This window comes from Homo sapiens, chromosome 22, assembly GCF_000001405.40.
Source record: "Homo sapiens chromosome 22, GRCh38.p14 Primary Assembly".
Lineage (NCBI taxonomy): Eukaryota > Metazoa > Chordata > Mammalia > Primates > Hominidae > Homo > Homo sapiens.
The window spans coordinates 37,307,771-37,333,486 of record NC_000022.11 but is presented as its reverse complement, the minus strand read 5'-3'; the positions used below and the strand labels follow the sequence as shown (position 1 = coordinate 37,333,486).

Genomic DNA, 25,716 nt, shown 5'->3' with positions numbered 1-25,716 from the left:
CTACTCAGGAAGCTGAGGCAGGAGAATTGCTTGAACCCGGGAGGTGGAGGTTACAGTGCGCCAAGGTCGTGCCACTGCACTCCAGCCTGGGCCACAGAGCAAGACTCCGTCAAAAAAAAAAAAAAAAGTCAATTTCTGGCCCCTCCTCAGAACCCCCAGGGGAATCTGCAGCCAGCCGGATCCTGGCCCTGGGCCTGTGCCTGGGAAGCACATACCTTCCAGCTACGACTGTGAGCCCCTCCCCAGCCCCTTTCTGGGACAGATGGGGACACTGAGAGCCAGAGAGGGGAGATGTGTAGCAGAGTTGGAACTAAGGGCCAGGTGTCCATCCCGCCAGTCTCTGCTCCCACTGGGATTCCTGCCCAGCCTCTGTCCACTCCGAAGGCTGGGATGAGCGTCTAATGACCGTGTGCAGGGAGAAGGTCGGGGGCAGGTGAGGAGCAGGCAGCCTGGACCCTGCCTCTAGTGGACAGTCCCCATCCCCTTGTCTGACCCCAGGGTTGGGGGGGCCTGCCTCACTTTTCTGAGCTGACAATTGTAGGGTCTCTTGGATGCTCCCACACACTTCGAGTGCCCACAGCTCCCCCACGGGGTACCCGGGAAGGAGAGAAGCGGTGGTTGCGGGGGAGAGGGACGGCAGGAGTACAGGAGTGAGGCTTAGCTGTCTATGGCCTTGGGGGGCTTATGTTCTTGTCCTGGCTCCTGAGAAGGAACGGTTTGGGAGAGGAACTGATTGAAATGTACTTTGCGTTTCTGGAAATTGAAATACTCAATTTGAGAGCATAGCGGCAATTAGTGTTTAATCACAGGAGGATAGAGCATGGGTGGCTGTGCCTGAGCTGGGGAGGACGGGTGGGCTGATTACCCGTCCTGCTTCCTGCTGTGGGGGCTGAGTCCCATTCCTCCCCTTCCCTAGGACAGATTAAAGGTGTAATTTGATGAATCAATTTGTTTTCTGGAGGAGAGAAGGGAGAAGCAGAAATCTCATAATAGCTGGAAGCAAGTTGCTCCATCCTGTCCTACAGGAGTCTTCATCAAGGAGCCAGGGGCGGTAGGGAGGCAGACCCAGTAGAGGAGGCCTCAGTGGTGTCTTCCTTTGAAGTCATGCACACCTGAGTTCAAATCCTGGTTCTGCCATTTACCAGCTGCACGACCTTGAGAAATCCACTTAACCCTCCACTTCCTCATTTCTAAGAAGGACAGCCCAGCAGGGTAGCTGGGCTAATATTTAATATTAGTCAATGTGCCTTCTGCAGTGTCTGGCACTTAATGGATGATCTATAAAGGAGAGAGGATACTGGGGGTAGGGAGGGGTGGGCTGAGACAATTGACCCCTGCTGGGCTGGACTTGAGGTTCACGGCCACATGGTTCCCTGTGCAGCGCCCCGTGGGTCCCAGCAGACACAGCACCATAATGGGAGACTTCTAGGCCGAGAGGGCAAAAGCTTCAAACAGCAGGCGGCAGCACCAGCTGTGTGGTGGCTGGGAGCTGGTCTAGCCTCCGCCTTCCTTCCAGAAGTCTCCCCAGCATCCTCAACCAGGTCAGATCCCCCAGCATGACTCAACATCCCTTCGACTTCCCTTCTGCAGCCCTGTAAGTGCTGGGGGTGCTGTATGTGGTGGTGGGCACCTGGCATGCCAAGTTCATAGCAGGTGCTCTGTCAGTGCAGAGCTGGGCACTAGTGGCCCAGGGTGACAGGCTTTGGCTGGCTGGAGCAGGGCTGGGTCAGGGTCGGGAGAGGCTGGGCTGCAGCAGAGACAGCTCAGGTCTGAGTCAGACAGACCTGGGTTCAAATCCTACCCATCCCTCCCAGTGTTGGGGTAGGGGGCAAGTTGCTGCCCTTCTCTAAATCTTATTTGTAATTTGCTTTCCTGGGCTGGTTATTAAGAATAGTAGAATTTGTCTTCTACCTTCTCCTGGCAGGTGGATGCCTTAGCTCAGCTCCAAGGGACAGTTTTGGGTACTGAGAGGGAACAGGGATGGGGAAGGTGGCCTCCCTTTTACTGAGTCCATACCAGGCCCTGTGTTAAGCTCTTTATGCACTCTGAGTCCTCATCACTCCCTTGTAAGGCAGGAGTAATTCTTTCCATTTTCCAAACAGAGAAACTGAGGCTCAGAGAGGTTTCCTGGCTTGCTTAGTCTCAGCAGCGAGGAGCCAGTTGTTGAACGTGGGGTTGTGTGACTCAGAGCCTGGGCTCTGTCCAATCCCAGCTGGCAGTGGGGGAAGGAGGGGCCTGGGCGGGAGGCTGCAGCTGGGCGTGGGTGGGCAGGTGGGTGCAGAGGCCCATAGATGCTGGCTAATGGGCCCTGGTGGGCCCGGCGCTAATGGGCCCTGGAAGTGCCAGGCGTAGATTTAGTGGGAAGGCAGGTGCTGGCTGCAGTGGGCCAGGAACTCTTCTGCCCCTCCTTTCCCTGTCCCATTCCTCAGGCCAGGGAGGAGGGGGAAGGAGATGGGGGCTCAGGGAGGGGGCATGCACCTAGCTTTGCCACTGACCCTACAGCTGGGTCTCAGCTTTCCCTTCTGCCCAATGGGTGAATCATTCCCTCCCCTCAGGTTTTGTTCTGAGTACCAAGGGCCATACTCTGTAGGAATGAATGCTGTAAAAATCAGGGGGCCACTGAAGTAGTGACCCCCACCCCAAGAAAATGCTCTTTCTTTGGAGACTCTCAGGGCTTTAGGGATAGAAGCAGGTGTGCCCCAATTATGCCAGTTTCCCTTTTCTCCTCCCCGCCCCCAACCCCTGGCAGTCCTAGGTGAGGGACCGCACAGCCAGGCCTGAGTGGGTGGGTAGGTGGCGCTGGCGCAGCCAAGAAGTGCCTGCTTCTGATTGGAAGGCTGGTTTCCATGGCGACCGATTGATTGCCCAAGCTGCAGACTCAAGGGGAATGAGCAATGGGGCCTTTCTCCCAAGCTTCACTGCTCAGGCTTGGGCCTGGAGGCCAAGGCAGGGGTGACATCTTTGTGTCCTGTCAGGGACAAGGGGCCCACTAGGGAACAGAAGGGCACCTCAGCCCAGAAGCCACCACTGGGCACCTGCTGTGTGCACATTCTGAGCTAGCAATGGAACAGGAGGAGGGGACCTAGCATTTATGAAGCAACTACTATGTGAAAACGAAGCTGCTGGGACTAGAACCTGGCCCAGTGGAGTCCCAAGCCTGTGAGCCTAACCACCAGGCTGTGATGCTCGTCCATGCTGCTTGTGAGGACTAAGCACATTTATGGGACACCAGCAAGCATCCTTGGACCACCAGACTGTAACCCCGCTCACACCAAGCTCTGAGGGTGAGGGTGAGACAGTCATTGCTGAGGGAGATCAGGGCTGGGGTGAATGTTGGAGGAATTAGGGAGGAGGATTAAATGTTTGGGGTGAGGGTAGGGAAATAAAGGCACCCCAGGCAGGGCACTGGCTTGGGCAAAGGCAATGAGGTGGAATGAGCTGGCCGTGTGGCAAGAGTTGGCCCCTCCACCTGTGATGTGGACTCGAAAAGGAGGGGCGGCCGTCTCTCTGATTGTTAGCTATGCAGGCCTGTGCCAACCACACCCTACCTCCCCTTTTACCCCTTTCCCATGCCCGTCTTCCCACCTATTCTGTCCATTCTGCCTCCCCCTCACTGGGGCCTGGGTGAGTCCCTGGCCCTCTGGCCACAGAGGTCCCACCGGCCAAAGGAGAAGGCTGGCACCAGTGGGGCTGCCTCCAGGACTCCAGCAGGGGATGGTTTCTCCCCGTCCCCTCCACGGTCTCTTCTCAGATTCCTTCTTTCTTCTTTCTCTCCCTCTTCCTTCTTCCCTGCACGCACCACCCCCTCCAACAATATTCTCACTGTCTCTTTTCCTGCCCTGGGGGTGATTTTGTCCGATTGATTGCCCAAGCAATCTGAATTGCTCTGAATCAGAAATCTGACTGGTCCCTGCCCCAGCCCCATCTCCATCGTGAACCCCATCCCCTGGTCCCACCCTGCCGCTGCCCTGCTCCCTGGCTCCTGCCCTGCCTGGCTCTGTCCCTCTTCATCCCAAACTCTCACTTGGCCCTTGGTACTCAGGACAAGACCTGAGAGGGGGAATGATTCACCCATTGGGCAGAAGGGAAAGCTGACACCCAGCTGTACAGTCAGTGGCAGATCACTGCCCTGCTCCTATCCCTGCTCTGCCCTGCCTGCCTGCCCCGTCCCTGTCTAGCCCCTCCCAAGCCCTGGCTTCATCTGAGCCTCTGCCACAGTCTTAGGTTCCCAGATGGGCTCGCTTAGGTCCTGGCCTCATTGTCATTCTGTCCACGCCAGCATCAGTCGGTGGCTGCAGGCACTGTCGGGGGTGAGGGGGAGAGAGAGAGAGAGAGGGAGAGAGAGAGAGAGAGGGAGAGAGAGAGAGAGAGAGGGAGAGAGAGAGAGAGAGAGAGAGAGAGAGAGAGGGAGAGAGAGAGGGAGAGAGAGAGAGAGAGGAGGAGAGAGAGAGAGAGGGAGAGAGAGAGGGAGAGAGAGAGAGGGAGAGAGAGAGAGGGAGAGAGAGAGAGAGAGAGAGAGGGAGAGAGAGAGAGAGGGAGAGAGAGAGAGAGAGGGGAAGAGAGAGAGGGAGAGAGAGAGAGAGAGGGAGAGAGAGAGAAAGAGGGAGAGAGAGAGAGAGGTTGGGGCTGCAGGTTGCGGGGAGCTGTAGGTCTGCTCTCTGAGCCTCCTCTCAGAAGGACAGAAGTGTTGTGTACAGGCTGGAAATAGCTGTCCATTATTGAGTACCTACTGTGCGCTAGAGAGGTTACAGTATCTCTAACCTCACAGCAGCCCCAGGAGACAAGTAAAAGGGACTCTTCCTCTTTACTCCAAGAGCCGAATTGACATCTCCATAGTAAACATTGGCAGGATTCATTTGGGACCCAGGTCCTCCTGGTCAAAGCCCCTGCTCACTGCCTTCTGCTGTGGGATTTGGGAAATGGGGTAGCTGGTCCCTACTGCAGGTGCCCCTGGATTGCTGAAGCCCTGTAAGATCTCCAAGGATGGCCAGGGCCCCCACAGGCACAAATGTGGGTAGGCTAAGGAGGAGAAACAGGGAGGGGGAACTGCATGAATGGAGGCTTGGAGGCCAGGACTGCTTCGGGAAGACTGTATGGGAGATGCAGCTTGAGACAAGGTTGCGGGGGTGAACCAGAGCCATTTCATATAGGGCTTCAAGACTTGAAGACCAGGCTGGGCCTTGACAGAGAGAACCTGGGAAGCATCTGAAAGTTGTTGAGCCAGGGAGGGAGATGATCCCAGCTATATTAATTCCTTCCTTCCTCCGTTGACTCATTTATTAAAAATTTATTGTCTTCTCCGCGGCATGCCTTTGCTGGGACTGGTGATTCAGAAATACTAGTCATAGGCCGGATGCGGTGGCTCACACCTGTAATCCTAGAACTTTGGGAGGCCGAGGTGGGTGGATCACTTGAGGTCAGGAATTCAAGACCAGCCTGGCCAGTATGGTGAAACCCCATCTCTACTAAAAATACAAAAATTGGCCGCGTGTGGTGGTGGGCGCCTGTAATCCTAGCTACTTGGGAGGCTGAGGCAGAAAAATCGCTTGAGGTGGAGGTTGCAGTGAGCCATGATTGTGCCACTGCACTCCAGCATGGGCAACAGAGAGAGACTCTGTCTTAAAAAAAAAAAAAAAGAAAGAAAAAAGAAAAGAAATACTAGTCACAGTTCTGGCCCTCAAGAGGCTCACAGGCTCACCAGGAGAAACTCATGCATATTCATAAAGGTACCAAAGTCCCACTGGTACCGAGATAGGTTTGTATACTGGGGCAGTGGGAGAAGGGGGAGAGACCTGGAATGGCTTCAAAGGCTTTGGTCCTGAACTAAGTCTTGGGGGTCAAGTAGAGGATGCAAAGCCCATTGGACTGGGAATAAAGAAGGTTCCAGGCAGAGAAAACTGAATGGGCAAACATCTGGAGGCTTGATACAACCTGCTGGGCTCAGGGAAGTGCTAGCAGTTTGGGTGTTTGGTGGAGGGGGGTGGCTCAGCACCTGTGCTGCACTGGGGATCCAGGGAGGAGGCAGGTGACCCTGGCTACAGAGTCGGGGATGAAATGAAGGGGGGAGCAGGGAGACCTGGAAGGAGATGATGGAGGCTAGAGTTGAAGGAATGGAGAAAGACTGCAAAATATCCACCCATCCATCCATCCATCTAGAAAATGTTTGCTGAGGCCGGGTGCGGTGGCTCATACCTGTAATCCCAGCACTTTGGGAGGCCGAGGTGGGCAGATCACCTGAGGTTAGGAGTTCGAGACCAGGCTGACCAACATGGTGAAACCCTATCTTTACTAAAAATACAAAATCAGCCGGGCATGGTGGCGCATGCCTGTAATCCCAGCTACTTGGGAGGCTGAGGTAGGAGAATTGCTTGAATCCAGGAGGCAGAGGTTGCAGTAAGCTGAGATTGCGCCATTGCACCCCAGCCTGGGCAACAAGAGTGAAACTCCGTCTCAAAAAAAGAGAAAGAAAATGTTTGCTAAGAACCAGTGTGGGGCAGGGATTGTGCTGGGTGCTGGAGGTGGAACCGGTCAGGCTGGGTCACTGACGGGAGAGGGTGGCTGGAGGCCAGGTTGATAAGCTTGGAGTGAGGACAAGCAGGATGAATGGGGGCAGGGGATGAATATCTTGAGTTCAAAGTGCATCCACCCAGGTAGCCGTGATTCGGGATGGGGAGGCAGCAAGCAGCAGGGGCTTGGCAAAAGTCAAAGGCATTTCTTTTTCTTTCTTTCTTTCTTTTTTTTTTTTTTTTAGACGGAGTCTCACTCTGTTACCCAGGCTGGAGTGCAGTGACACAATCTCAGCTCACTGCAACTTCTGCCTCCTGGGTTAAAGCGATTCTCCTGCCTCAGCCTCCCGAGTAGCTGGGATTACAGGCATGCGCCACCACTCCTGGCTAATTTTGTATTTTTAGTAGAGATGGGGTTTCTCCATGTTGCTCAGGCTGGTCTTGGATTCCTGATCTCAGGGGATCCGTCTGCCTCGGCCTCCCAGAGTGCTGGGATTACAGGCGTGAGCCACTGCACCGGGCCGGTCAAAGGCATTTCTAAGATGGGTGCTGCCAACTGTGCTCAGGGCTTTCCCAGCCTTCACTTCATCCTCACTTAATGGCATTCCCATCTGTCCAGGTGAGAAAACCGAGGCGTAGAGGCTTCATCGTTGCCCCATTATTGCAGGGATGGGCAAAGCTTTTCTGGAAAAGGCTACATAGTAAATATTTTTGACTTTACGAGCCATGCTTCTTGGTCAAAACTATTCAACGGTGCCACCGTAGAGGGAAAGCAGCCATAGACAGTACCAGAAATAAGTGGGTGTGGCTGTATTTTAATTAAAAAAGTGGATGAACATGGAAATTCAAATTTCATATAATTTTCACATGTCAGGAATTTTTTTTTTTATCTTCAGAAATAGAAAAAACCTAGCCGGGTGCAGTGGCTCATGTCTGTAATCCCAGCACTTTGGGAGGCCGAGGAGGGTGGATCACCTGAGGTCAGGAGGTTGAGACCAGCCTGGCCAATATGGTGAAACCCCATCTGTACTGAAAATACAAAAAAATTAGCCGGGTGTGGTGGCCCGTGCCTGTAGTCCCAGCTGCTTGGGAGGCTGAGGCAGGAAACTTGTTTGAACCCAGGAGGGAGGGGCTGCAGTGAGCCGAGATCGCACCACTGCACTCCAGCCTGGGCAACAAGAGCGAAAACTCCATCTAAAAAAAAAAAAAAAAAAAAAAAAAAAAAAAGAAAGAAAGAAAAAGAAAAAGAGAAAAAAAAGAAAAAAAAACATGCTTGGTTTCTGGTTGTACCATAACAGTTTGACAGGATTTGGCCTAGGGGCTGTAGTTTGCCCACCCCTTGGGGGATGGTTGGGAGGTGGCAGAGCTGGGGTTCAAACTAGGTTCTGCGAGCCCACGGGCTTCTGGACCAGATCAGCTCCAAGTGTGTGCCGGACCTCAGCCCCCTGGTCTTTCCCTTTCGGGTTGGTTCTCCCATCTTGGGATGCACAGAGCATCCTGCTTCTACGCTGCCCATTTTGGGCAGGAGGCAGTGTGCCGGGCAGGCCAGGGGATCTGAATCCCCCAACTCGGAAAAGGGTCCCCGCCCAGCCACTTGCCAGCTTGGAAGACTGGAAACCTCTCTAGGCCTCAGTTTCCCCACCTGTAAAGTGGGGCATAGCAGATAACTCACCCGCAGGGTCGCCGTGAGGCTGCAGTGAGAATATACCTTGAAACGTCTCCCCACCCCGCGGCTGCCTCAGTTTCCCTCCTCCCCTCCTTGCCTCTGAGCCTGGTCTACACCTGCGCCGCGGCCTCTCCCACCTCCCCCACCGCCGTCCCCCTCCTTAATGCGGAGAACGACATCCTGGGTGTCTCCCAGCTGCCTCCTGCGCACGGACGGTTTCTCGAAAGCTTTTAAAAACGAGGCTCCCTCCCGGCGGCGGCAGGGAGGGTGGGAAGGGGGGCGCCCACCCTCGGGAGCTTCCCCGGTGGGCGGCGGCGGCCGCTCCCAGCCTTTTCGGGAGATCTCTGGCTGATTATTATGGAAATCAGGCCCCAGCAGCGCGCCCGGGTGGCGCGGGAGCGGGAGGCGCTTGGTGCGGCTGAGACGCGCTGAGGACCCGCTCTGCCAGCCAAAGGAGCGGTGCGGGGGAGGGGGCGTGGGAGCTTCCCGCGCTCCTGGGACACGCGTGGCCTGTTCTGGCCCGGGTGCCCGGGTGACACTGTTCCCGCGCAGGGCCGATGGGCTGAGCTGCAGCCGGAGGGGCTGGGGTCGCGCACGGAAACCTGGGCGCCCAAGTCTGGGAGTTCATTTCCGCCGGGACCTGGGCCCTTGATATCAGCGGTGCTGGATATTTTCAGTGCAATTAAAGGCAAAGGCAGTGGGGTTCACGCCACCACCCCAGGAACAGAACTGGGGCGTGTAATGAGCTCAAGCCCTGTGTACTGGGCGCGTGTACTCGGCGTCCAGCACCGACCTCAGGGCGCTGATCTATTTAAATCCTTCCGTTGACTTGGGCATGGTCAGGCCCATTTTATGGATGAGACAACAGAGACCCAGAGAGGCAAAGCTCACACGGCCAAAGCAGTCGAGGAGAGACCTGAGCTGGGAGTTGTCCAACTCCTCTGGCCAGTTCTTACACCTTCGGTCATCCTGTCTCCAACCTGAGGATGATGCCTTTGACCTTCCAGCCGCGCATCCAGCTCTGGCCTGCCCTGTGCCTCTCTGCGGGGGGACTCTGCAAATGGGGAGAGAGACAGCGTGGCTAATGTCGAGGAGAGCTGAGGGTGGTGGGTTGTCCTGGTGCTGAGGGGCTCTTGGTTTCTGACTATGCCTTCTATCACCACCACAGGGTTTGAGTTGAGCCAGGATCCCCCACCCCCACCACCCCTCAAGGTGCAGGAAATCTCATCATTCAAAATCCATTTCCTTTATATTGTCACATTCTGGAGAAGGGCTCCAATCTAAGCTTAAAAGTGATAGAGAAAATAAAAATGGGAAAGTCAGATGGATTCGGCCACTTTGTAAGCCAGAAAAATGGCCCCAGCAGACAGGTGAGCAACAGCTTTGGAAAAATCTCTAGCAATCAAGAACGGCCATGGGGGTTTATCTTTGCTCTGTAATGATCCCAGGCAGACGGAGAGGAAAGGCAGAGAAACCTGCAGGTGAATGGGCAAAGGGCAGGAGCGATGATTCACACTAGAAAGGAAACACAAATGCTTAACCCTCACAGGGAGAAAGTCCATTCCCACTCAGATATGAAAGGAATACAAATGTTAATCAATGCAGTTCCATTCAAACTCACAAATATTTTAAAACATAAAGTTATTTAATTTACCGCTGAATAACTGTAACTATTTTTAACTGAACTCATGGTTACCCTGGTAGTCCATCCTCCCAACTGCTCCAATTCACAGATAGGAACCTAGGCTAAGAGAGGCTAATTGCATAATTTGCTCCAGGTTAGACCTCTGGTGAGTAGCTGAGCAGGGTCACCTGTTCGGTGGCAAAGTGGTGGCATCTGGCCGGGCGCGGTGGCTCATGCCTGTAATCCCAGCACTTTGGGAGGCTGAGGCAGGTGGATGACCTGAGGTCGGGAGTTCAAGACCAGCCTGACCTATATGGAGAAACCCGGTCTCTACTAAAAATACAAACTTAGCCAGGTGTGGTGGCACACGCCTGTAATCCCAGCTATTCAGGAGGCTGAGGCAGGAGAATCGCTTGAACCCGGGAGCTGGAGTTTGCAGTGAGCCGAGATTGCACCACTGCACTCCAGTCTGGGCAACAGAGCGAGACTCCATCAAAACAAACAAACAAACAAACAACAAAAAAACCCACAAACAAACCACACACACAAAAACGCAAAGGTTAGGCTTCATCCCAGCCCCCGTGGATCAGAAACTCTGGCGCTAGGGACCAGCAATCTGTTTTAAGGAGCTCTCCAGGTGAGCTGGAGGCTACAATTAGAGAATGACTGCTCTGGGCTCCAGGAGAAGGTAAGGAAAGCAGGTACGTGCTTTCGCTGCAGAAGGCAAATTGTATTGTTTCAACCTTTTTGAATTACCTATGGATAACAGGTATTGTGAGCCTGTAAACGGCCACCAATGGCACCTCTGAGAAGCCACTGAGAAGTAGACATGGTTTTATCCATGGAGGTATTTAAGACAATGTATTTATAAACATGGAATACTGGAAACAGTCTGAGTCTCCAGCAATAGGGGACTGGGGAGAGAAACCTTGGTTCATCTAAAAGATGGCTGCTGTGCAGTTTTGAAAAGTGAGTGTGTAAAGACCGCACAACGTGGTACAATAGGAGCAGACAAGTCCTCCTGGGTTGCCCAGGACTTTCCCAATTTTAGCACAAGAAGGCCGGCATTTTGGAAAACTCCTTGGTCCTGAGAAAATGGGGACAATTGGTCACCCTAGCTATAATCGGCACTAGTGCCACACCCCAAGTATTACTGTCCTCCCATGTTGCATGGCCGGTGGTAGGATGGTATTTCATCTGGCCTTGCAGTGAGGTAGCTATGTGACATGTTTTGGCCAATGCAATGTGAGCGGAAGTGGCATGTCACATCCAGACAGCGCTCCTGGCAATTCATGCCAGGATGGCACCTCCTCAGCCTAGGTCCCTGAGTGACTATGATAAGCAGAGACTCCATGCCGATCCCTACCCTGCAATCCCAGGGCATAGGGTGTGAGCAAGACATAACCTCTTGTGGTGTGTGAAGCCACTGAGATTTGGGGATATTTGTTGCCACAGTGTAACCTAACCTGTCCTGGCTGGTATACACGTGGACATCCGGATTTCATAGTTTTAAGGCTTAAGTGTTAGGCCGGGCATGGTGCCTCACACCTGCAATCTCAGTACTTTGGGAAGGCCGAGGCGTGCAGATCACTTGAGGTCAGGAGTTCGAGACCAGCCTGGGCAACATGGTGAAACCCCGCCTCTACTAAAAATACAAAAATTAGCCGGGTGTGGTGGTGCATGCCTGTAATCCCAGCTACTCGGGAGGCTGAGGCAGGAGAATCGCTTGAACCTGGGAGGAGGAGGTTGCAGTGAGCTGAGATTGTGCCACTGCACTCTAGCCTCAGGGACAGAGCGAGAATCTGTCTCCAGAAAAAAAAAAAAAATTGGCTTAAGGTTACAAAACTGCATTTGCAGTATCATTGCAGAGACATAACAGGTGTGTTGGAAATATTCTGAAATGTTTACAAAATTATCAGGTAGAGGAATTCTTGGTCTAGGTTTTTTTTTAACTTTTAGGATTGGGATACATGTGCAGGTTTGTTATATAGATAAACTGCCATGTGAGTTTGGTATACGGATAATTTTGTCACCCAGGTAATAAGCATAATACCCACCAGGTATTTTTTTCTAATCCTCTCCGTCCTCCCACTGTCCACCCTCCAGAAGGCCCCAGTGTCTGTTGTCCCTCTCCTAGTATTCATGTGTCCTCATTATTTAGCTTCCACTTATACGTGAGAACATGCGGTATTTGGTTTTCTGCTCCTGTCTATGTTCGTTTGCTTAGGATAATGGCCTCCAGCTCTAGCCGTGTTGCAACAGAGGACATGATCTCATTTGTTTTTTGGTCTAAGTTTTTCTTCCTCTTCATTGCGCTTTCCAATTTTCTGCAATGAGCATGTTTTATTAATTTTTAAATGGGGGACATTTTCTGAAAAAATCATTTCTTTGGATCAAAGGTTGGTCCCCTCTGGGCTCTTATTTATGAACTGAAAATCCCTTGGGGGAGGGAGAAAGAGAAGAGTTAAGCTTTAGCCTCAAAGGATCACAGGGACTGGAAAGGTCACAGAATTAATCCTGCCCTTCTGCTGGAGCCTTCTAGCTGGTGGCTCCTCCTGGCCTTAGCAATTGGATCAGATGCCTGTTCCTGGTCGTGTGACTCTGGGCAAGTCACAAGCTCTCTGAGCCTCCACGTCCTCATCTGTTAAATGGGAATAATCCTGTTTACCTTGTGGGCTCCTGGGAGGATCAGATGAGATGAAGTATGTTCTACAAATGCCGGCGCCTTCTGCCTCGGTCTTCTTCATGGAGCCTCCGTGCTGGGTGACTTAGGGCGTGTGCCTGAATGTCTGTGACCTTTGATTTCATCATGGAAGAACAGGCAGGGTGCTTTTTTAGGCCAGGGCATTTCTGGATGGGGCTGGAGGCCCCCGTACAGAAGCTGAGAGGGATGGAAAAGGAGAGGGCTTGTAGGCCTTGGTGTTCAGCAGCCGAACAAAAACTTTGAGCCTGGCAACCCCAGACCACGAAGCCAGCCCACCAAAAGCCAAATGGTGAAACCTCTGGAGTCTTAAAGTAGCCCCGGGGACAGGGGTGGTCAGGGAGGGCTTCCTGCAGGAGGAGAGCTGGCAGGATGGCATGGACAGCCCCCATTGCCTTCCATGGTTCTGTCCTGTTCAGAGTCCTTGAACTCAGCCCTCTCGAGGGAGACTCCATCAAGAATATAACAGTGACAGCTAATATCTGCTGACGGCGTGCAGTAGACCAGGTTTACCCAATCCAGTGTCAGTCCACACGGTGCCACTTTGGGGTAGGACTTGGGGAGACTCACCGTGGAGAAAAGTTCGCTGGGTGAATTGGTGGCTGAACCCCATCTGCTCCGGAGGAAACAGCTGTCCTTTCCTTCTCCAGGATAAAGCAGCCACGGGGCACAACTCTTCCAGTCCACAGGGCCACCCAGAATGACCCCAGTTCCTTGCTGCACCTTGTGGATATGTCTGATCTCTACCGTGACCCTATGTCTTGGGGTGCCTGGAGCAGTCCTGGTTTCTGCCTGTTGTCCTGGCGTCCCCTGGAATCCAGATTCCAGCACTCATAGGAAGGGCTATTATGGATGATGAGTTTGTGGTCGCCCTGACACAGGTTTCAGATCAGATGGCGCTGGTTCCATGCCGGCTCAGGTCCTTCTTGGCTGGGCCAGAGTGCGCCTGAGGGCCCTTCTCTGTAAAATGGGGATAGTCACGCCTGCTTAGGGAGTGCTGGAAGGTTGGAAGACAGCATGTAGTGGGAGGCGCTGGCCTTAGCGAGTGCTCCATGGTTGGCGGCTTTGGCCATGACATACTGATGCTGGGCATGGTGGGGGTGGGCCGGGGTGTCCAGGGCAAACCTGGGTCTTTGTGGGTTACTTTTGAGGGTCACGTGCTGTTAAGAACCCACACACTGGGATTGGAACCCAGGCCTGCAGGTGGACCCCAGGACCCAGGTGCCTGCCAGTACACACCACTGAGCCAAGACTAAATGGCCAAGAAAGGGGAGGGGGCGGAATCGGGCAGACAGGGGAGGGAGGGGCAAGTGGGAGAGGTGGGAGTGGGGAGAGGAGGAGGAGATAAGAGGGTGAGAGGGTGCGGAAGAGGAGGTGGGAAGGGCTTTCTGCTGAGCCCAGGACTCTTGTCTAACTCGCAGCTGAAGGTGTCCACGGGGAGGTCCTGCTGCCCCTCTGACGCAGTGTGACCTGTTCACCTCCCCTCCGCCCGACTCCTTCCCCACACCTGCCCTTCGCTGGGCTGTTTCGGGGAATGCTGTCACCTCCCACAAGTCTTAGCCCCGGAGGCCCATCAAGCCTCTTTCCTCCTGTCCAGCGACCGCTCTGTTCCTCCCTCACCTCCTCCAGCCCCCTGTGGCCCACCTAGCCTCCTTAATCCATCCCTTGAGTGGTCGATCCTAGGGGCTATCCCCAGACGGCTTCCAGCCGTCTCTCTCCTGCTTTGAACCCTTTCCTGGCTCCCCGTCACCGTCCTGGTAAAGTCACCCACGCAGGCTGGCCAGTGTGTCTCCGCTTCTGTTGCATTCCAAGTCCAGCTGTTCTAGGCAGGCCTCCTCCAGGCCCACCAAAGAATTCACCGCTTCTCAAATGTGCCAAACTCCTGTGTGGGGGCTCCGTGCTCCAGTCTCCCCAGGCCCCACAGCCCCTCTTCCCTCATCCTTACCGTCGCTCCCAACGCTGTCCCCATAGCGAGGTCACTTCATCCTCCTCCGCCGGCCCTGCCTGCAGACCAGATTCGCCCACGTTTCTCCAGAGCCCAGCGCCCGGCCTGGAACCACCACGGGAAGAGCATGTTCTCCCCAAAGAGGCCCTGTGGAGTCTGGCTTTTCTCCTGGAGGGTGGTTGTTGGATCTTGGGCAGAGGAGGCTGTGCTGTCAGGAAGAAGCCAAAAGGGATGGGACAACATTGCCAGACAGGGAGGGAGGTGGGGCTGGCTCGCGGGGACGGTCCAGAGAGGGTCCCCACTGGGCCAGGATCACATGGCAGTTTGGGGCAAGGCCAGGATTTTGACCCAGATGTGTGTCACTCTCTGGCTTCATTCTTCAGCCATTCTGGGTGCAGTCTGGAGAGTTGGGAGGCATGCAGGAGTGAGTGGCTGGGTCTCTGGTGCCCCTCAGAGGCCAGGCTCTCAGGACACTTGGGGTAGGAGGTGGTCCTCCCATTGAAGGGAAGGAGGGTCTGGAGCCTGCAGTGTCCTGGTGGGAGCAGGCCTGTCTTTGATGCTCACACTTGCAGACCCCTGGGGAAGGCCTGAGTCATCACTGAGCCGGCAAACATATTTAGCTCCTTTTATGTCCCTAATAAATCAATTTCTCCAGGTCTTTCATACCTGCCACTCGACTCGGGCTGCCTGCCCCCATCTCCTGTCCCCTGGCAGCTCTGTGTGCCAGGCTTCAAGATGGAGGGGCTCCTCCTCCCCAGGTACCTGGCAGGGGCCCACTCTGCCTTCTCCAAGCCCCGCTGCCCTGGCCTATTCCAACCCAGAGCCTTCTGTGCCAAGCTAGTCCTCCCTCAGGCTGGGATGTCTCCGTTCAGCAGCCACATTACTGAATGCCCCCTCAGAGCTTCATGCGGCCAAAGCTGCAGCCCCAGAGCTGCAAGGATCCTGCACTGTGCACGCAGCTCAGTCCCAGCCAGCACCCAGCCTCCCTCAACCTTGCATTCTTTTGACTCACTGGGGCTTGTGTTTGGGGCCCAGGGGAGTTCCAGAAATACCTTGCCTCGACCTGCCCTCCTTGTCCTGTCTCCTACTGGCCCCACTGGCTGGAAGGCTCAGACCTCCACTTGGCTTATCTTTCCTGAGCACACCTCTTCCAAGAAGTCTTCCCAGATCTCCCCCACTACCCCACTGCCCACATGAATCTTTCCCCCTCAAATGGCCCCAATTCCATGTTTTTGTAGCTCCATGAATGCATGCCCACAGTCTGCCTTGTGACCATAATAATAGTAGCATGTAACGTCCCAGGAGCTGCCTAACGCTGTTGTTAGCATTTTACATATATTTAATTATTTCCATTTTATAGATGGGAAACCTGAGGCTCAGAGAGCTTAGGAAACCTGCTTAAGGCACAGGGTAGAGGTGAGCCTTCACCATGGCCCTCTGGGTGGCTCTGACGGCTACGTCACCCCCCCGCCCCGTGCCCTGACACAGTAATGGCTTTCGTGGTACCTGCTCATCTTCCTCCCCCGCCATCCCTTCCAGGGCAGGAGCTGTGTTGCAGCGGTGCCTGTTGCATGTGGAAGTCTCCCTTCAAGGTTTGCATCATGGAACTCACCTGGCCCAACCTCTCAGGGAGGAAAATTCCAACCAGAGAGGGTAAGCAACTCGTTCGGGGCCCCACAGCCAGAAAGCAAGAGTGCGCGAATCTCCCAGTGCCAGGCCCAATGCCAGCCCCAGCAGGGGTGACTGTGCCCAGCACGAGTGGCGGGGAGGCCCATGCTTGTTTGTGTCCATGGGTGTCTACTGGGCTGCTCGAGCCCTTGGGCCCTGATAGACCAGATGTCTCCCCCTTTAGGACGTCCAGGCCAGGGCTCTACTCCGGACAGAGACCCCGTCCCTGCAAGGGACAGCCAGTCAGCCCTGTCCAGCCCCGTCCAGCCCTGTCCAGCCCTGTGCAGCCAGTCCAGCCATTCTGACTGCAGCGTTGAAACCTCTTATCCACGTGTGGTGGGAGCCCCCTGCTGACCAGAGTGAGGAGTGGCAGAATGGCAGGAAGGTGAGCAGACATGCCCTGGAGAGACTCAGGGGGCCAGTGAGTCAGAGCCCAGCTCTCCATGCTCCTGGCTTGTGATGTGGCCTCTCCAGGTACTCCTGCATCTCCTGGAGGCACCAACGTTCTCATAGCTCTCTAGGCCTCTGGACATTTGCACCTGCTGATGCTGAGACCCAGAGGGCCTTTTATCAGTTAACTTCAGGTGAACTAGCAGTTATTGTGCACCTATTGTGTGCTGGGCACTCTGAGTATGTGCAAGGTCTGGCCCACAAGGAGCTCACAGTTCAGTGTGGGGCAGACATGAAGTGAGCTCACTGCATTATCAGGTGCGTGTCCTGTCCCCAGCCTGGCTGCCAATACTTGAGCACCCTCCTCAGAGAAGCCTCCCCGGATTGCCCTCTGCCCAGCCCAGCCCAGCCCAGCCCTCCACTGCCTGCTCTGCGTCCTCTGGAACAGCGTGTGTTCAGTACTGCAGGGATGTGAGCCCCATGCAGGCAGGGATTCGGCCTTGTTGTACCAGTGTCTGGGACAGTGCCTGGCACAACGTAGGTGCTCCATAAACATTTGTGGGATGTACAAATAAATGAAGGTTATTGAATTCAAGCTCCTCCGTTACCCACCAAGTGATCCTTGGAGCAGCAGTGCTTGCACTCCTCCAGCAACGGGGAACATTCTACTCACCTCCCGTGGCAGCAGGCTCTTTCTCTCTCTCTCTTTCTGTCTGTCTGTCTGTCTGTCTCTCTCCCTCCCCGCTCCTTCCTTCCTTCCTTTCTTTTTATTTTGAGACAGAGTCTCACTCTGTTGCCCAGGCTAGAGTGCAGTGGCATGATCTCGGCTCACTGCAACCTCTACCTCCCAGATTCAAGCAATTTTCCTGCCTCAGCCTCCCAAGTAGCTGGGATTACAGGCTTGCACCACCACGCCTGGCTAATTTTTTGTATTTTTAGACGGGGGGTCTCACCAGGTTGGCCAGCCTGGTCTCGAACTCCTAACTTCAGGTGATCTGCCCGCCTTAGCCTCCCAAAGTGCTGGGATTACAGGCGTGAGCCACCACGCCTGGCTCTTTTTTTCTTTTGAGATGGAGTCTTGCTCTGTCACCCAGGCTGGAGTGCAGTGGCACCATCTGGGCTCAATGACACCTCCGCCTCCCAGGTTCAAGCAATTCTCCTGCCTCAGCCTCCTGAGTAGCTGGGACTATAGGCACCCACCACCACGCCCAGCTAATTTTTGTATTTTTAATAGAGACGGGATTTCACCATGTTGGCCAGGCTGGTCTCGAACTCCTGACCTCAAGTGATCCTCCCACGTCGGCCTCCCAGAGTGTTGGGATTACAGGCGTGAGCCACCACGCCTGACCGGCAGCGGCTCTTTCTATCGTTAGACAGCATTGCCTGCTGGAAAGTCCTTTTGCCTTTCCCTGGGCTTGTCAGAACCAGCTTGCCTGCACCTGCTCTGTGGAAGCCCCATTGGCTGTCCAGCCCCTGGGGATGGCTCCTGTGCCAGTGTTCCGGGGATGGGGTCGTAGGGCCCTCTGAGTGACCAGCCTCCCTGCCTGGCCCTCCTGCCCTCCACTGGGAAAGGGACGGAGGTGGAGGGCCCGGTGGGGTCAAGGTGGCAGCCGCAGTCACAGAGAGGACAGAGCCCACTCACGAGTTGGATCAGGAGTTTTATTCTCTCTTTGGAATGACTCCCAGAACAGCCACTTATGCCCAGAAAATCCATGATCCCATCTCCTCCATGATGGAGGAAGCTGAGGACCAGAGAGGGGAAGGGAGTAGACTAAGGGAGTAGCCAGTGCATCCCAGGAGCAGGACAGAATCTCTGACCCCTGACCCCTAGCCCAGTGCTCCTTCCACCACCCCTGGCTGCTCCTTCATGGACCAATGAGGTGACAGAGGCAGGGCCTAGTTCACAGGCTGACAAGAATCTGCGGATGTCCTCAGATGTCCCACAAGGTGTCCTCCTGCAGACGCCCAACCCAGACCTTGTCTGCTGCAATATCACTACCAGTGCTTGCAGACCTCCAGAGACAGGAGTCTCACCACCTCGCAAGGCAGCTACTCCATCCTGACCCTGTGGAAGGTGTGCAAATGTGGGGGTGGGTGGGGACGAGGAGAGGTGCCTCGCGAGCTGCGGTTCCTTCTGGGGGATCCACCTGCTTCCTTGCCCACTCAGGCTGGCAGTGGGGCAGAGGCGGCCACATTTCCTGTTCCCCTGCCAAGGAATTTCCCTCCAGGGGCTCCCCTGGGCCTGTGTGAGGGGGTGAGAAGTGTTTCCTGTTAGTGGACTCCTCCTCCAGGCCAGGCCTCCCTGGAGACAGAGCTGGCTGCCCGGGTACTGGAAGTCAGCTCTACTCTGATAATACTTCTGCAGAGGGTCTCGAGATGCTGGGACCCGCCGGGCTGCCCTTTATCACCATGGGACTGCTCGTCAGTGGTCTTGCAGGAAAGCCATGGCCAAGACTCTCTCTCTCCAAGCATGAGCTCTGTGTTACTTTCTGGCTCAGCCACTGCCTCCAGGCAGCCCTCCTGTTAACCACAGTGCACGAAACTCTCCCTTCTTGGCTTCTTGGATATAGCACCCATCCTGCTTGAGTCCCATCTGTCTGGGATGTTCTCCGTCATTTTCTTGAGGGTCCCACCTGCTCCTCTCCCCGAAATGGACATCCTGGAAGGTGGAGTCTATACTGCTTTTCTCTCCCCAGCAACGTTGAATCCGGAGTCAGCCTGGGCTCCGCAAACAACGGCTGCCATCTCCAGCTGGAAGCTGGAGCACAGGGCTAGCAGGGGCCAATACGTTTCTAGTCCAAACACTGCAGTTTTGCAAGAACTAGAGAATGGGCATGACTTGGCAGAGGGCACACAGCGAGTCAGAGGCAGAGCTGGGACTGAGCTCGTGGGGTCCGGGCTCCTAGGGCAGTGCTCCCGGGGTTCTGTCCCGGGGTCCTGTCCGTGGGTCTGAGCTGTGTGTGTGCTGAGCTCTCTCAGGCAGAGAGGGCCAAGCCCAACCCGAGGACAGGGGAGGGGTTGGCAGAGATATCCCTGAAAAGGAAGAGCCTTGCCAGGGAGAAGAATCACTTAGGGACCCCACGGCCCCTCCTACGTTGAGGGCTGACAGCATCTAAGTGCAGAGAGCGCCTTCAGAGCCGAGGACACCGAAGTCCAGAGAGAAGAGAAGTTGCAGCATTCTGGGGCTGGTTTTCCTCTGGCTGCTCTCCTCACCCCTTCCTGTAGTGCACGTAGGGCAGGGGCCTGCAGCTGGGTGCCCAGGCCAGGGGGCCTCATTGCTGGACTCTGAGCCCACTGCAGCTCCCACCCACCCTCCTGAGCTCTGCCTTCCCCTCTAGAGTCAGCTCGAGGTAACGGGGAACAGCAATGATGTCTGTGGCCCAAAAGAGTGCACTGGGGTGGGAGGTGGGTCTCCAGGTGCTGCAGGCGATGGGACTCTCAGGGTGACCAGCCCCCAGTGCCACCTCCAGGAATCTCACTGCTTGCTGGCAATCTTCTTCTTCCGAGTAGAGACCAGGTCGTAGAAGGGGACACGGGTGATGCTGGCTCTAGAATGAGTGGGAGGAGAGATTTCAGGGCTGGACTGGCCGTCAAGGTGGTCTGCTCTCCCAGGGCTTGTATCAGGGGCATGGGATTCCCAGGGAGGTGTCAGCCTGCTCTGCCGCGGGGGAAAGGCCAGATGGCCCCAACAAAGGCTGTGCCAGGGTAAGTCCAGACTTGTAAGCCTAACCCAGTGTCCCATGGGCAGGGCCAGAGTGGGTGAGGCCTCCGATCAGGAGCTGAGAGCCTTGGGAATTCTACTCCCAAATGTCTCTGGGCCCCTCTCCAGGCTCCCACTGGCGACCTTCGGAAGGTGATGGGAAGAGCTTGGGGTGGAGCTGGCAGACCTGCCTGTTGGACCCTGCTCTGTCCCTGGTTCTGTGGCCTGGGCAGGTCCCTCCCATCTCTGGGCCTCAGTTTCCTCATGTGTAAGATGGAGGTGAGAATGGGTCTGCCTGGCAGCCTCACAGGCTCACAAGGCCCAGGGGAAAAGACCCTGCAAGTCCCCGGGACACGGCCCCTGCCCAGCAACCACTTCAGCCTTCCTCTGGCCACCAGGCCTCACCCTTGCCAATATCTTGGGCTGGCTCAGAGTCAAGCCTTGAGCAGGCTTGCCATCTTGCCCTTTACCAGATGCATCTTCCTCATGTCTCTCCTGTTGGTGGCACCACAGAACCAGTCCCTACACTTTGGCTTTCCTCACCCAGCCACCCCTCCCTATTTATGAGTCTATGGCTCCCCAGTGCCCCAGGAGAAACTGAAGCTCTTCACCACGGTGGCTGTGGCTTTGTCATGCTCAGCAGTTTCAGCTCCCACACTGCTTAGCCTCACTCGGACTCCGGGATGCTGTGCAGGTAGGCCGCCTGCTGGTTGCCCACATGGGTCCGGGTCCTTTTACCTGGAAGTTTATCTGGAAAGCCCTTCCCTCCACCTCCACCAGGTCCTTCCCAGGCCACTTTGGATAGTGATGCCAACAAGAGCACTCACCACGTGCCAGGCAAGGGCGGGGCAAGAACTTTATGTGCAACTCTTTGCTCTATTCTCCCACCAACCCCATGCAGGTGGTCTCTCCTTTCCCTGTGTCCTGGGGCCTGGCCTGGTGCCAGGCACACAGAAAGTACCCATGGAATACGGGTGGAAGGGGTTTGCCAGCCAGAAACAGGAGGGAGAGACTGGAGTTAGCCCCTTTACAGATAAGGAAGCAAGACCCAAAAGAAGCAGGGCCTTCTGGAAGGTGACGGGAAGCCGTCCCCAGACCTGGGCACCCCTTACCGGATGGACTCGATCCACTGGTCACGTTCCTCGGCACTGGTGGCTGAGATGCGGTACGATTCGTGCTTGCCCTCCACCACCCTGCCGTCGCCATCGGTCTTGCAGGCCTTGATTTTCTGGCCTCGGCAGCTAGGGTTGTAGAGCTCCAGGCAGAACTGTGGGGAGGTGGCCAGGCAAGGGTGGGAAGAGAGGGAGGCTGGGTGGGCCCTCCAGGAGGCTCAGAGAAGCCCAGACGCTAGTGTCCCTGATCAGCGTGACAGCCCTACGACAGGCGAAGGGGCAGGAGCTGCTGCTCCCACACTGAGCACTCTCTCTGTGGCAGGCTCCTGAATCCACCATCCTCCCTAAAGTCCCCACGTGACATGTGGGCTCACTGAGGTTCTGAATGGAGTGGAGCTTACTCGGGGCCATCCAGCCAGTCGGGCTGTGTGGGACAACAGGGGACAACCACGTCCTTGGACCCACATTGACCTTTTCTCACTGTCCATGGCCCCAGGAGGGAGAGAAGGCAGCCCTGAGCCACAGGGAAGGTGTAAGGGGCACAGCCTGGCTTCCTGGAGAGCCCAGCCTCAGGCCCTCTCCCCACGTTCTGTTTAGGAAATTTCCCAGTGGCTCCAGCCTCGGGATCCTGCAACCTGAACACCTACTGGCTTCTTGGGGTCATCCACCTTCTGCACCGAGAGGTTCTCAAGAGGTATAATTCCCCGTGGCTCCTTGTCCTACAGGGAAAGGGGAAGGAAGGTCAGGGTCAGGAAGCGGAACCCTGAGGCCCAAGGCAGGGTGTGAACGTGTGGGGTTCCCCAAACTCAAAGAGGAGCGTGCTCATCTTCCGAGACTGTCCAGTCATAGGGGGACGGAAGTTAGAAGCAGCATGTGAAGACCTCTGGCCGGAACTTAGGAGGCCCAGCTTTAAGCCTGGGCTCTGCCTAGGACCTTGGCCCGGCCCTCCTCTGTGTACCCGTTTTCCCCATCTGTAAAATGGGCATGGAGGGGGACTGAATGATCTCAAAGGATCCAAAGCTGTGTGAGTCGACTGCTCAGTGGGAGTTGGGAAGTGGGTTGTGCGGGGAGAGGCGGGGGCAGGGGAAGGCCCAGGAGAACCCTGCTCACAGTGGTGAACTCGAAGTAGTAGAGGCAGTTGTCGGTCAGGATGAACCAGCGCCGTTTCCACGTCTTCACGCGGCCCCCTGCGCAAGGCCAATGTAGCAAGCTGGTCAGTCCTCCTCCTGGGCCACTGACACCTCCTCCAGGGAAGGGCAGGTCCTCGGATGCTTTCCCCTGGACCCCCAGCTGAGTGCCCTAAACTTCGTCCACCACACCTCCCCCCAACATCTATCCCTTTCTCAAACAAGAACCTTAGTGGCTCCTGTAATCCCCAGGCTTCCCTGGAGCTGCTTGAGCTGGCGTTTGGGTGGCCTCCGTGATCAGGTCCTAGGAATGGTCCTAGGAATGGCCAGTTCCTGCTCTTCCTGGCTACCGCCATCCATTGCTTCATTCCTTAGCTTGGTCCCTGCCTGGCACAATGCTAAGCATTTCGTCCTTCATTTGCCAGACACTGCTCTAGAGGTTTCAAAAAATATTACTTATTAATCCTCACAACCACGTATGAAGAGGAGACCATTGTTAACCCCATTTTACAGATGAGGAAACAGTCATGGAGAGGTAAAATCGCCTGCCCACGGTTCAGCAGCAGAGCTGGGATTCGAACCCCAATGTCCTAGTCCCAGAGCCCAACTCTTGGCCATTTTGCCGCACATTTAACCCTCCCAGAGATCATTCTCCCCATCTTACAGCTACAGAAACTGAGGCTGAAGAACCTGACCATCAGTACTTGGGTGGAGGAGCTGGGGTTTGGGCCCAGGGCTATGTGACTCTGAGGCTCCCTCTCCCATCTGAGTTAAGATTTATGACATAGAGCTTCTCGGGGGCGGACAGCACGTGGCTGGGGCAGGACAGGCGGCCGAGTGCTCTGGAGGAGGATGGACTGGGGTGTGGTGTGGAGAGTCAGAGGGCTCATGGGCTCCTGGGGGTTCTGGGCAGGACTGGCACGGGGCTTGGTAGACAGGAGGTGCTGGAGGCTCAATGTTGCTGGAGGTGAGCCAGGTTGAGACCCCTGCTTCAACATGAGGCATCTGTCCTCACCTGCCCTGGAGGCGCTGTCCCCGGCTTGGCTGTCCCTGCTGGAGAGGCTTCCGGAAGTGTGTGTGGGAGGCAGGGGCAGACGGCCGGGCACTGGGGTTGCCCTGCTGGACTCTACAGCCACTATTACTGCAGCTCCCACCCCAGCTGCTCTCTGCAGGGTGCAGGCCCTCCCTGCCCCCAGTCAGCTTGAAGGGAGCCTCCCCCTAAGCCACATCCTGTCATCCTTCCTCCCCTCCTTTAGGGACACCTAACCCTCTGTGCCCTCAAATCTGCCCCTGGCTGGCTGTGTGGCCTCAGGCAGATCCCTGACTTTACTGTTCGGCTGTAGGGTGGACCAGCACCTTGCCTGAGCTCAGTAGGTTCTGAACAAATGGTACTTCCTGCTATGACTTCCCTCCCCATTCCGCTGGGGAGAGAGAAACAGAACCGCAGCTGAAGCATTTGTCAGTGGGTCTGTCTGCCTCTCGCCCGGCTTACAGCTCAGCCCCCACCACTGGCTCCCTTCCTTCTCGGGACAGGTGGATGGATGGGGCAGGCAGACGGCTGCACTGGGGGCCAGGAGACCTGGGGCTGTCCAACTCCATCCCCCAGGATGCATGTGAGCCTCGTGTCAGCTGGGGGCCTGTGCGTCCAGGAGTGTGCATGCAACGATGTGTGCCCGCGCGTGCATGAGTGTGTGTGCGACGACGTGTGTCTGTCGGTCTCTCACCTAGCTTGAGCAGCCAACCCTCCCGGTCTGGATTGAAGAAGGTGTGAGTGAGGTCATTGCCGTCGTCCTCAGGGATGGAGAATGGCTCACTCTTGATGCTGTCGAAGAGGTTCTGCCCCAAGACAAGGGAGAGAAAGACCTGGCTGTGAGTCCACCCGAGTCCAAGGCCTAGGCCTGGCCTGGCCTGTGTGGCCTTGAGCAGGTCACTCACCTGCAGGCATACTCTTTCCTCACCTGTTTATCGTGGTCCCTGGGCTTTTCTTGGTGAGCCCCTCCCTGGTTCCCTCCATTCAGCCTGGGCCTGGTCTTGCCACCCTGCCACCCCGCCACCCCGCCACCCCGGTCATGCTTCCCTCTGTGCTACTGCAGGGCAGAGCGAGCAGGGGTCAGCCCCTCAAACACACATATATACAAATATACATGCTTACACACACACACGTGCACACACACGCACATGTATGCACGTTCACACACATGCAGGCACACTTATATAAATGCATGCTCACACATACATGCACACACATGCATGTTCACACACATACACACATGCAGGCACGCTCACACATACATGCACACACATGCATGCATACTCATACATACACGCACACACACATGCATGCTCACACATACATGCATACTTACACATGCAAGCACGCTCACACATATATGCACACATACATGCATACTCACACAGACATGCATGCTTATGCACACATACATGCACACTCAGACACATATACACGCTCACACATACATGTATACACACGCACACTTACACACATACACACACTCACAGACACATATACACACGCTCACACATACATGTACACACATGCACACGTACACACATACACACACACTTATATACATGCACACTCACACACATGCACGCTTGCGTGCATATACATGCACTCTTATACATGCATGCACACTGACAATATACATGCACACATATATACATGCATGCCCACACACACATGCATGCTTACACACACAGACACAGACACACACAAACACACGTATTCTCTTTCTGTCTCTCTGTCTCTGGGGCACAGCAACCTTGGCAAAAGCCATGGGAGGAGGGTCCTCTCCTGCTTAGGTGCAGCAGCAGAGAGGTCCCTGAGTTGAGGGGCCCCTGAGGAGCCACCAGGGAGGAGGATAGGCCACTTCCTGTTGAGAGGCCCAGCTGAGGGAGAGCCCAGGGTGGGATGCTGGCTGTGGCTCTCAAAAGCCCCTCTCCTAAGCAGACCTATGCTGGATGGGCCGGGGTGGGGTCTGGGGAGTTCCCAGAAAGCAGACTGCCGTTCTCCACGGAAGCCTTTCTGGCAGTCAGAGCTGGTGACGTGGGAGAGCAGCCCTGTAGGATAATGAGCTCTTTGTCACTGGAGGTAAGTAAGCCAGGTCTGCGAGTTCCCTGTGGGCAAGGTGTGGCTGCTGGTGCCAGATCACCCCTGTGTGCTTTGAATCTCCTGCCATGAGATATTGCGTTCTATGAGCAACCTGCCTAGATTGCCAAGTGTTTGGAGAACTATTCTAAACTGTCCATTTCTGCT

The 25,716-nt window shown here is 55.5% G+C and overlaps 1 protein-coding gene and 1 long non-coding RNA gene across 5 annotated transcripts in view, besides 9 other annotated features; one reads left to right on the top strand and one right to left on the bottom strand.

The window, feature by feature from the left end:
- The first annotated feature begins 1,350 nt into the window (after positions 1 to 1,350).
- Positions 1,351 to 22,866, top strand: LOC105373024 (uncharacterized). Of its 3 annotated transcripts, XR_938232.3 has the most exons (4): positions 1,351 to 1,594; positions 15,982 to 16,095; positions 20,784 to 20,894; positions 21,910 to 22,866. It is a non-coding gene; the product is annotated as an uncharacterized LOC105373024 (long non-coding RNA). The 3 variants fall into 3 exon arrangements; XR_938234.3 differs by lacking the exons at positions 20,784 to 20,894; positions 21,910 to 22,866 and adding an exon at positions 16,295 to 17,090; XR_938231.2 differs by lacking the exon at positions 20,784 to 20,894 and having other exon boundaries at positions 1,361 to 1,594.
- Positions 2,685 to 2,979: a silencer, noted in NCBI's record as "tiled region #3535; HepG2 Repressive DNase matched - State 12:CtcfO". NCBI's record gives its function as "represses a minimal TATA promoter and a strong SV40 promoter by Sharpr-MPRA in HepG2 cells {active_cell/tissue: HepG2}" and the evidence as "EXISTENCE:reporter gene assay evidence [ECO:0000049][PMID:27701403]".
- Positions 3,878 to 4,523: an enhancer, noted in NCBI's record as "H3K27ac-H3K4me1 hESC enhancer chr22:37725005-37725650 (GRCh37/hg19 assembly coordinates)". NCBI's record gives its function as "activates a minimal SCP1, AML or CMV promoter by ChIP-STARR-seq in naive H9 embryonic stem cells {active_cell/tissue: H9 hESC(naive)}" and the evidence as "EXISTENCE:reporter gene assay evidence [ECO:0000049][PMID:30033119]".
- Positions 4,971 to 6,170: an enhancer, noted in NCBI's record as "P300/CBP strongly-dependent group 1 enhancer chr22:37723358-37724557 (GRCh37/hg19 assembly coordinates)". NCBI's record gives its function as "activates an origin of replication core promoter dependent on BRD2, BRD4, P300/CBP, MED14 and CDK7 cofactors, with strong dependence on P300/CBP, by STARR-seq in HCT116 cells {active_cell/tissue: HCT116}" and the evidence as "EXISTENCE:reporter gene assay evidence [ECO:0000049][PMID:35650434]".
- Positions 14,696 to 15,553: an enhancer, noted in NCBI's record as "H3K4me1 hESC enhancer chr22:37713975-37714832 (GRCh37/hg19 assembly coordinates)". NCBI's record gives its function as "activates a minimal SCP1, AML or CMV promoter by ChIP-STARR-seq in primed H9 embryonic stem cells {active_cell/tissue: H9 hESC(primed)}" and the evidence as "EXISTENCE:reporter gene assay evidence [ECO:0000049][PMID:30033119]".
- CYTH4 (cytohesin 4) overlaps positions 18,146 to 25,716 on the bottom strand; it is a 32,834-nt gene continuing 25,263 nt past the window's right edge. For both annotated transcript variants that reach the window (NM_001318024.2, NM_013385.5), the window contains exons 9-13: positions 24,164 to 24,275; positions 22,423 to 22,499; positions 21,960 to 22,031; positions 21,313 to 21,467; positions 18,146 to 20,048 (exon numbers count right to left, since the gene is read on the bottom strand). In NM_001318024.2, coding sequence (NP_001304953.1) covers positions 19,976 to 20,048; positions 21,313 to 21,467; positions 21,960 to 22,031; positions 22,423 to 22,499; positions 24,164 to 24,275 — 489 coding nt within the window. In that variant the 3' untranslated portion in view covers positions 18,146 to 19,975. The remainder of the gene's footprint in view (positions 20,049 to 21,312; positions 21,468 to 21,959; positions 22,032 to 22,422; positions 22,500 to 24,163; positions 24,276 to 25,716) is intronic.
- Positions 21,204 to 22,403: an enhancer, noted in NCBI's record as "CDK7 strongly-dependent group 2 enhancer chr22:37707125-37708324 (GRCh37/hg19 assembly coordinates)". NCBI's record gives its function as "activates an origin of replication core promoter dependent on BRD2, BRD4, P300/CBP, MED14 and CDK7 cofactors, with strong dependence on CDK7, by STARR-seq in HCT116 cells {active_cell/tissue: HCT116}" and the evidence as "EXISTENCE:reporter gene assay evidence [ECO:0000049][PMID:35650434]".
- Positions 22,039 to 22,248: an enhancer, noted in NCBI's record as "active region_18971". NCBI's record gives its function as "activates an Ori minimal core promoter by ATAC-STARR-seq in GM12878 lymphoblastoid cells {active_cell/tissue: GM12878}" and the evidence as "EXISTENCE:reporter gene assay evidence [ECO:0000049][PMID:35858748]".
- Positions 23,375 to 23,644: an enhancer, noted in NCBI's record as "active region_18970". NCBI's record gives its function as "activates an Ori minimal core promoter by ATAC-STARR-seq in GM12878 lymphoblastoid cells {active_cell/tissue: GM12878}" and the evidence as "EXISTENCE:reporter gene assay evidence [ECO:0000049][PMID:35858748]".
- Positions 23,754 to 24,335: an enhancer, noted in NCBI's record as "H3K4me1 hESC enhancer chr22:37705193-37705774 (GRCh37/hg19 assembly coordinates)". NCBI's record gives its function as "activates a minimal SCP1, AML or CMV promoter by ChIP-STARR-seq in naive H9 embryonic stem cells {active_cell/tissue: H9 hESC(naive)}" and the evidence as "EXISTENCE:reporter gene assay evidence [ECO:0000049][PMID:30033119]".
- Positions 23,865 to 23,924: an enhancer, noted in NCBI's record as "active region_18969". NCBI's record gives its function as "activates an Ori minimal core promoter by ATAC-STARR-seq in GM12878 lymphoblastoid cells {active_cell/tissue: GM12878}" and the evidence as "EXISTENCE:reporter gene assay evidence [ECO:0000049][PMID:35858748]".